The 14,320-nt window shown below is 40.1% G+C and overlaps 1 protein-coding gene across 39 annotated transcripts in view, besides 4 other annotated features; it reads right to left on the bottom strand.

The window, feature by feature from the left end:
* Nucleotides 1-14,320, bottom strand: part of RHBDD1 (rhomboid domain containing 1) — a 199,052-nt gene that overhangs the window by 154,224 nt on the left and 30,508 nt on the right. For 5 of the 39 annotated variants that reach the window (NM_032276.5, NM_001349071.2, XM_047445986.1 and 2 more), the window contains exon 1: nt 8,900-8,933. The exons of 2 other annotated variants lie outside the window; for them this stretch is intronic. The gene's annotated coding sequence lies outside the window, so the exon portion shown is untranslated. Of the gene's footprint in view, nt 1-5,359; nt 5,579-6,832; nt 8,934-14,320 lie in introns of those variants that run through there. 32 more of the 39 variants (XM_017005084.3, XM_047445982.1, XM_047446005.1 and 29 more) reach the window with 14 other exon arrangements.
* Nucleotides 8,421-8,570: an enhancer, noted in NCBI's record as "active region_17195". NCBI's record gives its function as "activates an Ori minimal core promoter by ATAC-STARR-seq in GM12878 lymphoblastoid cells {active_cell/tissue: GM12878}" and the evidence as "EXISTENCE:reporter gene assay evidence [ECO:0000049][PMID:35858748]".
* Nucleotides 8,621-9,150: a silencer, noted in NCBI's record as "silent region_12394". NCBI's record gives its function as "represses an Ori minimal core promoter by ATAC-STARR-seq in GM12878 lymphoblastoid cells {active_cell/tissue: GM12878}" and the evidence as "EXISTENCE:reporter gene assay evidence [ECO:0000049][PMID:35858748]".
* Nucleotides 9,320-9,614: an enhancer, noted in NCBI's record as "tiled region #3963; K562 Activating DNase matched - State 1:Tss". NCBI's record gives its function as "activates a minimal TATA promoter and a strong SV40 promoter by Sharpr-MPRA in K562 cells {active_cell/tissue: K562}" and the evidence as "EXISTENCE:reporter gene assay evidence [ECO:0000049][PMID:27701403]".
* Nucleotides 9,411-9,480: an enhancer, noted in NCBI's record as "active region_17194". NCBI's record gives its function as "activates an Ori minimal core promoter by ATAC-STARR-seq in GM12878 lymphoblastoid cells {active_cell/tissue: GM12878}" and the evidence as "EXISTENCE:reporter gene assay evidence [ECO:0000049][PMID:35858748]".

Here is a 14,320-nt window from a genome sequence, read left to right as displayed (position 1 = left end):
CTTTTAAAAGTGTTATATAGTATAAATGAAAATGATTAGACTATATTTATACATAAAAAATAATGGCTAAAAAATGAAATTACCAGATTTTGTATATAATCTTAAATTTTGCTCCACTGCTAGGTGAATTAGTGCCAACTCCAATTCTGACCCATCACCATTTATGATTTCCAGTATCAATCATAAGCCAGTTTCTTCTCTCATAAACCACACGGTTTAGTGTAATGAGGGCTCATTAAAGTTCTCCAACTGACAGCCCTTCAGACCTAGGTTTTTAAACCAGGAGGCACACAGGGAACAGCAATGCCAGCGTCCCATGATCGCTCCTTCAACAGGATTTAAGTAGTTCCATATTCAGGTTTACTCTGCACCAGATTTCTTTGTCTACCTAAAGTCAATGAAAAAATGAGAGCTACCACCACTCCCTGCTCTCATTTAAATTAATCTGTGTAAGAAGTGTTTGTGAATTATTTATGTAACTCAAGTCTTCCCTGCACAACAACTAGTGAAAAGGGGGAAAAGCATGCCATGCTTCAAATATATGTTATATTACCACAAACCACATGGGATGTCCACAAATTATTAAGTGATAGGGAACAGCTTAGGGCTTTTTGCCTGCATAGCATCAATACTTCATTCTTTCAGTAACAGGAATCTGTCTCCCACTCCCATTGGATGCGGTCTTTGGCAAGGGGCCGGGGGGCGGGGGGCAGCTATCAATCAAGGGTGCCATTTCCAATACTGATCCAAGGTGATAGTGACCAAAGTTGGAATAATAACTATTTCCCTGGAATTTAAAAGTTGTGCTGAGAAACTATGTGACCAACAACTTTTGAAGCTGGTTCTCACAGCATTAATTTGAAGAGTTTTCCAGATCTACCAAGTCTCCCCAAACCTCAAGAGCTCACTTAGCTGCTGACCTTTATGCACATAAACCAGAAAATCTAGAAGAAATGGCTAAATTCCTGGACTCATACACCCTCCCAAGACTGAACCAGGAAGAAATTGAATCCCTGAATAGACTAATAAATGAGTTCTGAAATTGAGACAGTAACAAATAGCCTACCAACCAAAAAAAGCCCAGGACCAGATGGATTCACAGCTGAATTCTATCTACCAGGGTACAAAGAAGAGCAGGTATCATTCCTGCTGAAACTATTCCAAACAATTGAAAAGGAATGACTCCTCCCCAACTCCTTCTATGAAGCCAGCATTATGCTGATACCAAAACCTGGCAAGAGATACAACAACAAAAAGAAAAATTCAGGCCAATATCCTTGATGAACCTCAAGGCAAAAATCCTCAACAAAATACTGGCAAACTGCATCCACCAGCACATCAAAAAACTTATCTACCACGATCAAGTTGGCTTCATCCCGGGGTGCCAGGTTGGTTCAACATATACAAATTAATAAATGTGATTCATCACATAAGCAGAACTAAAGACAAAAACCACATGAGTATCTCAACTGATGCAGAAAAGGCCTTCGATAAAATTCAACATCCCTTCATGTTAAAAACTCTCAATAAACTAGGGATTAAAGGCACTTACCTCAAAATAATAAGAGCCATATATGACAAACCCACAGCCAATATCATATTGAATGGGCAAAAGCTAGAAGCATTCCCCTTGAAAACCAGCACAAGACAAGGATGCCCTCTCCCACCACTCCTATTCAACACAGTATTGGAAGTTCTGGCCAGTGCAATCAGGCAAGAGAAAGAAATAAAGTGTATTCAAATAGGAAGAGAGGAAGTGAAATTATCTGTTTGCAGATGACATGATCCTATATCTAGAAAACCCCATTGTGTCAGCCCAAAAGCTTCTTAAGCTGATAAGCAACTTCAGCAAAGTCTCAGGATACAAAATCAATGTGCAAAAATTGCTAGCATTCCTATACACCAACACCGGCAAGCAGAAAGCCAAATCATAAATGAACTCCCATTCACAACTGCTACAAAAAGAATAAAATACCTAGGAATACCGCCAACAAGGGAAGTGAAAGACCTCTTCAAGGAGAACTACAAACCACTGTTCAAAGAAATTAGAGAGGACACAAATGGAAAAACATTCCATGCTCATGAACAGAGAGAATCAATATCATGAAAACGGCCATACTGCCCAAAGTAATTTATAGATTTAATGCTATTCCCATTAAACTTTCATTGACATTGTTCGCAGATTTAGATAAAACTATTTTATGGAATCAAAAAGAGCCCAAGTAGCCAAAACAATTCTTAGCAAAAAGAACAAAGTTGGAGGCATCACACTACCAGACTTCAAACTATACTAAAAGGCTACAGTAACGAAAACAGCATGGTACTGGTACAAGAACAGATACATAGACAGATGGAACAAAATAGAGAACTCAGAAACGAGACCACACAACTACAACAACTTGATCTTTGACAAACCTGGCCAAAACAAGAAATAGAGAAAGGATTCCCTATTTAATAAATGGTGCTGGGAGAAATGGGTAGCCATATGCAGAAAACTGAAACTAGACCCCTTATATTACATACAAAAATTAACTCACAATGAATTAAAGACTTAAATGTCAAACCCAAAACTATAAAAATCCTAGAAGAAAATCTAGGTAATACCATTCAGGACATAGGTATGGGCAAAGATTTCATGATGAAAACACCAAAAGCAATTGCAACAAAAGCAAAAATTGACAAATGGGACCTGATTAAACTAAAGAGCTTCTGCACAGCAAAAGAGACTATCATTAGAGTGAACAGACAACCTACAGAATGGGAGAAAATTTTTACAGTCTATCCATCTGACAAAGGTTTAATATCCACAGTCTACAAGGAACTTAAATTTAGGAGAAAAAAACAACCCCATTAAAAAGTGGGCAAAGGACATGAACAGACACTTCTCAAAAGAAAACATACATGCAGCCATGAAACATATGAAAAAAAGCTCAACATCACTGATCATTAGAGAAATGCAAATCAAAACCACAATGAGATACTATCTCATGCCAGTCAGAATGGCTATTATTAAAAAGTCAAAAAACAACACATGCTGGCGAGGTTGCAGGGAAAACAGAATGCTACTACACTGTTGGTGGAAGTATAAGTTAGTTCAACCACTGTGTAAGACAGACTGGCGATTCCTCAAAGACCTAGAGGTAGAAATACCATTAGACCCAGCATTGCCATTACTGGGTATATACCCAAAGGAATAGAAATCATTCTATTATAAAGATACATGCATGCATATGTTAAATGTGGCACTATTCACAATAGCAAAAACATGGAATTGACCTAAATGCCCATCAATGATAGATGGATAAAGAAGATGTGGTACATATGAAATATTATGCAGCCACACAAAGGAATGAAATCATGTCCTTTGCAGGGACATGGATAAAGCTAGAAGCCATTATCCTCAGCAAACTGACATGGGAACAGAAAACCAAACACTGCATGTTCTCACTTATAACTGGGAGCTAAATGATGAGAACACATGGACACAGAGCAGGGAGCCACCACACACTGGGGCCTGTCAGGGAGGTGTGGTAGGCAGGGAGGAACAATAGCTAATGGATGTGGGGCTTAATACCTAGGTGACAGGATGATCTGTGCAGCAAACCACCATGGCACATGTTTACCTATGTAACAAACCTGCACATCCTACACACGTACCCTTGAACTTAAAAGCTGAAGAAAAAAAAATTAGCTGGGTGTGGTGGCACATGTCTGTAGTCCCAGCTACTAGGGAGGCTGAGGTGGGAGGATCAACTGAGCCCAGGAGGTCCCGGCTGCAGTGAGTCAAGATCACACCACTGCACTCCAATCTAGGTAACAGAGTGAGACTCTGTCTCAAAAAAAATAAATAAATGAATGAAAAATGAATACGCCTTGAAAGAAAAAAACAAGAAATTTCCTTCAATATGTTAGGATGAGGGCGACTACATGGGCAGTATGCACAAAATTCATTCCTAGGTTTGTTCAAATTTAGAATCACAACTGATTCATTGCAACACACATAATTGCAATATTGCTGGTATCAGTAATATATTTTTAAAAAACGTAGTGAAATTTTTTTCACAGTATTGCCCAAGAGACTTTTTACTTAAGAAAAAAAAAACCCAAATTATATGTAGTTGCCAAAACACACATACACACAAGTCCACACACACACCCCTATATATTATTTATAAAACTGAAGTCATTGTAAGTAACATTTATATTTATTTCATTCATTACTATCCTGATATTGTGACTTTGCATTAAAAATGCATAAGCAAGTTAACACCTGGAGAAACAGCTGTTGGTGTAATGACAACATTCCTAGAGCTAATGCCAGAAGATCTGGGGTCAAATATGGAGGCCATCATGTACTAGTATGTGGCCTTGGGCAAATCATACAACCAGTACTGTAGAGCTTCTGTTTCTTTATCCATAGATGGCAAAAAATTCCACTTACATTCTAGAATCACCATCAAGAATAAATGAAATAGGGTATTATGTTAAAGCGTGCAGTGCATCACCAAGGTTTTTCACTCTCCTTTCCTCTCCTTAATGAGATTTTCCTGCCCTTAGAGCTAGATTCTATTACTGTGTAATTATGAGGTGCATGTAACAATGTCCAAGAAACTAGATGGTAAATAACCCCAACATGCAAACCGGAATGCACACATTGTTAGTTGGCCATCACGTAGATCCCAAAGGTCTCTTGCCCATTATCTGTTGCTTCCCAGAAATTTGATAGATTTTCTTTCCTGAAACAGCCAAAGTTATCTATGGGCTTTGAAATATCACCATCATGATATTGCCACAAAGCAGCTGGTTGATTGAAAGTAACTCCCCCTCCCCCAAGCTCCAGCTGTCACCAGGAAACCCTCTTCAATGTGTGAAAAAGACAATGTAATATCACTAACTACCACTATTAGTAACAATCTAACAAATACTTAGCATTTGAAATTATTTTTCTTATGAAGGCTCATTATTAACTAAAAATTAACTCTAAAAAAACACTTTACTATATAAATATAGAGTAGTTGCTTCCATACAACAAAAAAATGATAGGGCTATAAACACAAGTAATACACTTCCTTTGACTCCTTGTTTCTTTTTCCCCGAGTCATTTGTAATCCTAAACAACAGTCAGTTAAAATGCCAAATAGCTTTTAATAGCGATACAGCTGTCACAACTTGGAGGGATTTTTTAAAAAGCTAATTCCTCAAAAAAGTGCACAGAATCCTACTTTGTAAAATACGGGTCAGGTGGGTTTTTTTTTTTCTCAATAATCACTCACTCCTCTGCATGAGAAGCCATCCATATGGTGACATGGCTGACAACCTTGGAAATTGTCTTCAGAACAAGTTTGTGAATCCCACTTACCAGAATTCTTAATACCATTACGTTTTAGGTATAGCTCATGCCCTGAGGATTTCTATTCCACCACAGAGTTTCACGTCCAGCTCCCCGGAATCCGAGGTTCCCTAGGCACGCCTCCTAATATCGCTGCCAAGGACCAAGAGCCTGTGCCCTTCAACCTCACTGTTCTTAAAGCTTCTCGGCTCCTGAGTTTTACAGGTAAGATTCTGTTTAAGAGGCTCCCTGTTGAAAAAAAATATGAGGTCCATTGCTTACGTGGCTATGACTGCAACATAAAAGGAAATCTACCTTTTAAAGAATCGCTTCCGTTTTTAATAGTTTTTTTAAAGAACATTTACATATACATGTACGTATCTAATTTTACATATATAGAAAATTTCCTTTTATACTTGGTCCCCACCCCCATATTCCAATATACTGACAAATAAAATTATGACCTAGTGTGAGTCAAGTATTTTCTGCACTCATACATTCATATACAATATAAACACACAGAAATACATGTAAGAGATTTTGTTATCCCTTATTAAAAAATGTAATGTAAAACTTTTCACTTTGCTATTAAGAATTCGTGTTTTAAAAAAATATTAGCAATTTCAGGGCTAACAGCATTTTCTCATCCTTTGATGCATACCTTCAACGAGGTCTCATTTCCTGTAACAGTGTCCCCTTCTCTAGCTGACTGTCCCCATTAACTAACAGAAGATACTTTATTACTCATCCCCTGACCTTTGGATGTTTACCTTGCTGTAAACATCCAAAACAATTTCTACAAGTTGCTCTGTTACAGTGATAAAACTGAAGATGGTGTTTTTTCACGTTAAAGTTTCAACTTTTTTCAAGTGTTTGTTTTTTCTCATTCACAATAATATGAAAGCTTTGACTCCATTTCAGCATTTTATGGTTAAAAAGAAAAGCAGTGCAGTTAGGTAATAAAATTACCTCATTTATAAAAATATTATAAAATGAATGGCATAAAGTTAGGTTTGAGACAACAAATACCTTTTTTCCCTTTGTCCGACACACAACATTTACTGAGCCTCTGTGCCTAAAACAAGGTGGACGTGTTTTATGCGTTATTTCATTTAATTCAATGGCCTGAAGTAGCACATCCTATGACTCCTACTTTACAGAAATTCAAGTGGGGAGGATGTTAATTTGTCTAATGTACACAATCACTAAGTAGCAGAGGCAAGATTCAGAGCAGGGCTTGTCTGACCTAAAACCACAGATAGCGATCTGCCTCTCCGATGAGGAGAACAAAAAAAAATATTTAATGCCTTCGAAAAATAAACATTTCATGATGGGGCAGTGCCAATTTGGTGGCAGAGCTAACGAAATTATTTCCAGAATAATCCATTCAAAGTGACTTATGTTTATCTGAAAACTCTCTCAATATCCAGGAGCCATGGTATAGCCTTGGGAGCAGCGTGCTCTCATCAAAACGACATGTGTAGGCCACGGTTTGGCACTGACCTTCTCAACATTGCAGTGAATGTAGCCTTTAGAGCAGCTGCTTTAAATCCTGAATATTTCTTTCTCCCCCTACAATGGACCCCTGAAAGAGATAAAGTTGTAAGAAAATACTGCATCTAAAAAACACAGCAGGTTGAGGGCACTCCTGTGATCCTTCCTGAAAATGGAGGTATCTAGAGTAGACATGAGATCTTTGCTACCGTGGAGTTGTACGACATATGGGAAACAAAGATAAGGACAGAAACATATTCAGCCTTGGCTTTCGCTTGCAAGTCACTATGTTACAATAATTCTCAACTCTAAAACTAGTGCTTACCTCTGGTCTTTACCAAATTCTGGGTCAAAGAAGGTATAACTAAACTGAAGACGAGGCAGGTGGATTACCTGAGGTCAGGAGTTCGGGACCAGCTTGGCAAACGTGGTGAAACCGTCTCTACTAAAAATACAAAAATTAGCTGGGCGTGGTGGCAGACGCCTGTAATCCCAGCTACCTGGGAAGCTGAGGCAGGAGAATCGTTTGAACCCTGGAGGCAGCGGTTACAGTGATCCAAGATTGCACCATTGCACTCCAGCCTGGGTGGCAGAAAGAGACTGTCTCCAAACAAAGCTGAAGAGATCAGAAGGCCAAAGAATTAAAAACTACTCTTCAACATAAATACTAATGCTATTCTTAAAAATCCTACAACCACAATAGCATTAGTATGCACTGCTTTAACTTTTAACTGAATATCCTGCATCCAACAACCTTGACTACACAGAATTGAGAATCCCGAGGTAAACAAAATACCCTCTAAGCAGCAGTCCCAATATCCATGCGCTACAGCTCATATCTACCCCGCTGAAGAATCCTTCCAGCACAAACTATGTACTTATTTTATGCAGTTCTAATAAGTTACTTAATAACATCTTTGAGGGTTTTCTATGTGTTTTGTGTTAAACATTTTTCTTGCATCTTCATATTCCAGCCCTGTGAGGTAACATGTCCAAGTTTTTCCATCTAGGAATTACTTCAATTCAAATTCCATTATATGTGATTCCACAATGGGTGTTATCACTACGCCATTAATTCTCAAACTTTAGCGTCCAGGTGCATTGGTATCAACTGGAAGGCTTGTTAAAATATATTTCTGATTCAGTAAGTTTGGGATAAGACCCCAAAATGTGCATTTCCAAGAAGTTCCCAAGTGATGCTGATCCTAGCGTCCTGGGATTATTTAGAAACCAATGCACTTCTATTCTTCTTTGAAAGAATACTTGCTTTCCACAGCGACGGCAGGCCTGCAGCAAACCAGAAGCCTTTAAAGTTTATTAGAACTACCTCAAAAAGACACACAACTGTGAGAAATTAGATAAAGCCTTCTAATAAGCAATTTCAAAGAGAAAAAAGAAAAGCCTGGGAGTCACTGAGTGTACTGCAGAGACCCAAACACCTCGATAATTGAATCATAACTAGGCAGGCACTCATTCATTTTGACAGTAACGCTGAGTCTTCAAAAGAGTTTATGCTCAGTTTAGAAAAACAAATAAGGCTGTGATCCGTTTCTTGTAAACGTTTATCCAAAGGTTTTTAGGGGTTGGACAGAAAGGGTTTACTTTGGCGGATTTTTTGTCCTCTAATAAAAGTTATTACTGCGGTGAGGCTTAGACTTGTTCTGAGAAACTGAAAGCTGTCCCGAGAGCACCTGAAACTGCATGCTCTGTTGCTGATGCAACGTCACTTCAAACTTCCTGCTTTCAAAAGGAACCCTTTAAACTCGCTCAGCGCCAACCCCTTCCTCCGAGTGTGGGCACGTCGTTCCCGTGCGGTCCGGCGGAGATGCGGCAACTTCGACAAGACCCCAGGTGGAGTTACCCCAGGAAACGCCCTCCCCGCTCTCGGACTTGCCCCGGACGGGGAGGCTGTGCCTCCAGCCCCGCCATGCCTCCCTCGCCCTAGCCCCCCGGGAGGCGCCGACCTCCGCCCAGCAGCCCCAGCCCGGCCGCCAGCTCCCGCAGCCCGGGGAAACGGCGAGAGATGCCGCTCACAACCAACGACAGCAGCCGGACCAAACAGACGCGGAAACTCACGCTCTCTACGACCCGCCTGCGTCCCCACGTCTTCGCGCGCACGTGCGTCATCACGCACGTTCCCGATCCGGGGCGCCCCGGGTTCCTGGGGCCGGGTGCGGGAGGGGAGGGCCTTAAAGCGGACGGCTCGGCCGCGGCGCATGCTTAGTTGTGCGCGCCCGCGCTCTGCTGTCTGCAGACCGCGTGCGCCGGCAGTGGCTCTAAGGGGGCCGCGAGGGCACAGCGGGGCAGGACCGCGGCAGAGCGCAGTAAGGAGAGTGTGGACCCTCGCCCTGTCCTCTAAGCTCCATGTGAAATGTGGATAATATTCCTTACTGCCATAAATAGCCACTGGCCGCTGACTACGCGTAAGGCAAACAAGCGACCTGCGTTCAAGGGACCCGAAGACTAGGGGAGAAGCAGCGAGCGGGTCGCGGCCGCCTACCCAACGGACGCCTCTGCCCAGGTTCTCTGCCGGGAAGCTTCGTCCTTCCGGGCCCCAGCGCAGCCGGAGGCTGGGGAGCTGCTGCCTGGAAGGGTCAGATACCGCCTGTTAGGCGGAGGGTGGGAAAGACACTCTCCTGCTTCAGGAGCTATCGCAGACAACCGGAGGGCGGCTTATCGCAGAGTCCCAGAGCCAGCCAGCAAGGCAAGGTCGCGGGTGCACCTTTCACTCCCAGAAGCTTGGGTCTGGGACTGCACCACGCAACGTTTGCCCATTTTGAGGGCTTTAGGTGTTTCATATTTCAGTTAATAGAATTTCGATTAATACATAATTTGATACCATTTTAATTGTTTGCTACTCGGGAGCAAGTTTTATGTTTAGCTGTAGGAGTTAGGCTAAGTTAAATGTTGCAATGCTATATATATTTAATAGGATATGAAAAAACTATCTTACAGCCGGGCGCGGTAACTCACGCCTGTAATCCCCGCACTTTGGGAGGTCGAGGCAGGAGGATCGCTTGAGCTCAGGAGTTTGAGACCAGCCTGGACAACATAGTGAGACCTTGTCTCTATTTAAAAAACAACAACAGGCCTGGCGCGGTGGCCCACGCCTGTAATCCCAGCACTTTGGGAGGCTAAGGCGGGCGGATCACCGGAGGTCAGGAATTCAAAACCAGCCTGGCCAACATGGCGAAACCCTGTCTCTACTAAAAATACAAAAATTAGCCAGGCATGGTTGCGGGCGCCTGTAATCCCGGCTACTCGGGAGGCTGAGGCAGGGGAATCCTTGAACCCGGGAGGCAGAGGTTGCAGTGAGATCGCGTCCATGCACTCCAGCCTGGGCGACAGAGCATGACTCTATCTCAAAAAAAAAAAATCTTACTATTTGGTATGGAATTTTCTGATAGCTAGGGTAAAGATGCTCTTTTTCCAAGAAGGAATCCGAGTATCCGAATACAGGTGGTTTAGTGTTACTCTTTGTTTATTGGAAGTTGTAGCAGCTGTGTTTAGATAGTCTGCTAAAACAAAAACTGCCTAAACCAGAAGAGTTTATCTTTTGCCATTGTGTATTAAAACTCTTCATAGAAATATTTATTTTGGAGTTTGAAATTTAAGTGAAAATGTGGCTCATGCATAGGTGTGGGTGTACATATGACTTTCAAGTGACAAAGAAGATTCTTAGCAAATTGTACGTGTTCATTAAGACTCATAAGTTACCTCTTTCCTAGAAAAACAATATACTCCTCCAAAAGCTCAACTGACAATGAGAAACTGCATTTCTGGACATGAAAAGTCAAATGAATGCGGGGAAAAGTAAATTGCCTATAGAGGTATTTTCTGTATTTCCCTAGAGGGGGAAATGTGTAATTTCTCAAAAGGAAGAAGTCCTCATTTATCCTTCTGAACCACAATCATATGAATCCATTCAATTAATATTAATCTTATCTTCTATTCTCCATCACTCTCTACATCTTTCTATAATTGCATCATTTTCTTGTCCGTATAATACATCAAATGCAGAGGTGATTTTAAGGGAGCCACAAATCAAGAAGTCTCAATTCAATAATTTCGTTAAAATGTAAGAAATATATACGGATTAAGAATATTCTTAGGTAATTATGTTCTGTTTCAAATATCAGTGAAAATTTTCATAGACATTTAAGGGGTAAAAGACATTTAACAGATAGAAAAAAATATCTACCTTTTAAAAAATGACCTTCTCTTTTGTCCTACGTGATTTGTTGAGCAGACTGGGTTTTTTAAAAGTTTCTGTTGAAATGAGCATGTTGTAACATGCTCATATCCCATTTCAATTGACAAATATCACTTGGATAATAATTGTATATCTTAAATATGAACATATGAAGCAATCAGCAGCAGCATCCTTTCACTGAGCAAGGCTTAAAAATACCAAAGAATCAGTGCCAGAAGAAATTCTTTAACTTAAAATATACGTAATCACTACATTACCATATAAAACAATGATTTCTAAATGCTGGAAAGTATATATCTTAATCATGAGACGAGGCAGCACTATGCACATTGTGCATAATATGTGAGACATTGAATGGTATAAAATAAATTTTAACTTTTATCTAAGGTTTACAGGAAAAGCAGCAATACCTATGATTAAGCCACCCGACTTAAATGAGTGTTTTTAAGATGTGGTGCTTGCACATAAGCGGAGGAGTGGTGGTAACAACCCTTGTACAGTTCACAAATCCAGGACTGGCAGGAAGGTAGACAAGTGTCATTCTCAGATTTCAGAACCCAGCCTGAAAGTGAGAGGACGTCAGGCAACAATACCATGCAACGACAGCGTGCAACAAATACACAACTGGATTATCTTTTTAAGGGAGAAGCTTGTTTGGGTTTCTAATTGCTTTTAATGAACCAAGTATTGATTACTGTTTTACCCAAAACTGTACCAAAATATGTGTAAAACTGATAAGATAATTTATAGCTTTCTAGTTATGGAAAAGCTTGCAAATTAAATAATTCAAATCTCAATTTAAGAACTGTAAAAATGAGAAATTGGTTCATGTACCATAGTGATAATAATACCAACAATACTTAACAGTAGACTATGCAGACACTAACCATAAGAGATTTGTAGTGGCTATACTAATATCAGATGAAACAGACTTTAAGAAAGAAATTTCTTTTTCTTTTTTCTTTTTTTTGAAGTGCAATGGCACAATCTTGGCTCACTGCAACCTCTGCCTCCCGGGTTCAAGCAATTCTCCTGCCTCAGCTTCCCAAGTAGCTGGGATTACAGGTGCCCGCCACCATGCCTGGCTAATTTTTTGTATTTTTTTAGTAGAGATGGGGTTTCACCATGTCAGCCAGGCTGATCTCAAACTCCTGACCTGATGTGATCCACCTGTCTCGGCCTCCCAAATGGGATTACAGGCCAGCGCGTCTGGCTGACAAGAAATATTTTTAGAGACAGAAATTCCATACTGATAAGAGGGTCAATACATTGAGAAGATATAACAGTTATAAATGTATATGCACCCAGTAACAGAGCCCTAAATTCATGAAGCAAAAATGATTGAATTGAACAGAGAAATATACAAACAACAGTAGTTTGATATTTCAGTATCCTACTCACAATAATGTGTAGAACAACCAGGCAGAAAATCACTAAGTATATAGAAGGCTTGAACAAGACTCTCAACCTAACCAACATGTACAGACCACTGTACTTAATGACAGCTGAATTTATGTTCTTTTTAAAAAGTATACTCTCCAGGATAGCCTTATGTTAGACCATAAATAAGTCTCAGTAAATTTAAAAGAATTGGGATCATACAAAGTACATTCTCCAGTTACAGTGGAATTAAATTAGGGATTGACAATAGAAAGAAATTTGGAAAATCCCCAGATGTTTGGAAATTAGATTACTCATGGGCCAAGGAAGAAGTACTAAAGGAAATTAGAAAGTATTTTGAAATGAATGAAAGTGAAAACATATTGAAGTCATGCACTGCAGCTAAAACAGTGATCAAAAGGGTATTTAGTCCTTTAAACACCAAGAAAAAGAGTCTCAAATCTACACTTCCACCTTGAAAACTAGAAAAAGAGGAGGAACGTAAACCTTTAGCAAAGGGAGGAAATAATGATCATATTGCAAATCAATAAAATAAGTAACAAAAATAGAGAAAATGAAAATCAAAAGTTTGTTTTTTAGAAAAAAAAAAAAACCAGTAAAATTAATGAGCCAACATTAAACTGGCCAAAAAATTAAAAAGACCAAAATTAGGAATCAAAACAGGTACATCACTACCAACCCAAATTAAAAGGATTGTAAGAGACTGTAAATAACGTTGTGCCAATAAATTAGACAATGCAGATGAATTGGACAAATTCCTAGACAGACACAAATTGCCAAAACTGGCTCAATAGAAAATCCAAAAAGACTTTATTTTCTATGGTGGTTGTAAAAAAAAAAAAAAGTATTATAAACTAGGTGGCTTAAGACAACAGAAATTTATTATCTCATGTTCTAGAGACATGAAGCTCGATCAAAGTGTTGGCAGGGCTCTGCTCCCTCTGAAACCTGGAAGAGAGAATTCTTGTCTCTTTCCCACTGCTGGTGTTTTCAGCAATCCTTGGCCTTTCTTGGTGCTCCTTGGTTTTACAACTGCAGCACTTCAGTCTCTGCCTGCATCTCCACATGTGCTGTTCCCTCACGTGCCTGTCTCCTAGAGGCTGAAGTGCCCAGCCTACTCCAGTGTGACCTCATCTTAATGAATTACATCTGCAATGACCCTCTTTTGAAATAACGTATTCTAAGGTACTGGGGGTTAGGGCTTCAACACATCTTTTTGGATGACACAGTTCAACCCATAACAGACATGTAACAAGTACGGAAATTTAATACTTTCCACAAAGAAAATCTTCCCACAAAGAGAAGCCCAGGTCTAGATGGATTCACTGATGTCAATCCATCAAATATTTAAGGAAGAAATTATACCATCATACACAAACTTTCTGAAAATAGAACAGTTCTCCACTTACTCTGTGAGGATGTTATTACCCTGATAACAAATTCAGACAAAGACATTACAAGATCAGCATCCCTTGTGAATGTACAAAAATTCCCAATGAAGTATTAGCAAACCAAATATGGCAATATGTATGAAGGATAGATCATATACCATGAATGCAAGTTTGGCTTTCCATCAAAAAAGGCCAGGTGCAGTGGCTCACACCCGTAATCCCAGCACTTTGGGAGGCCAAGGTAAGAAAGTGCTTGAGCCCAGAAATTTGAGACCAGCTTGGGCAAGATGGTGAGATCCTATCTATACAACAAATTAAATAAGGCAGGCACAGTGGCACACACCTGTAGTCCCAGCTACTCAGGAGGCTGAGGCGGGGGGATCACTTGAGCTCAGTAGTTCAAGGAATAGCGAGCTGTGATTGTGCCACTGCAGTCCAGCCTAAGTCACAAAGGGAGACCCCATCTCTTGAAAAATAAAAAAAAGTTTATAT

The sequence above is a fragment of the Homo sapiens genome, chromosome 2, assembly GCF_000001405.40.
Source record: "Homo sapiens chromosome 2, GRCh38.p14 Primary Assembly".
NCBI lineage: Eukaryota > Metazoa > Chordata > Mammalia > Primates > Hominidae > Homo > Homo sapiens.
Note: the sequence above shows the minus strand (reverse complement) of the source record. Positions and strands in the feature narration are given on the sequence as shown.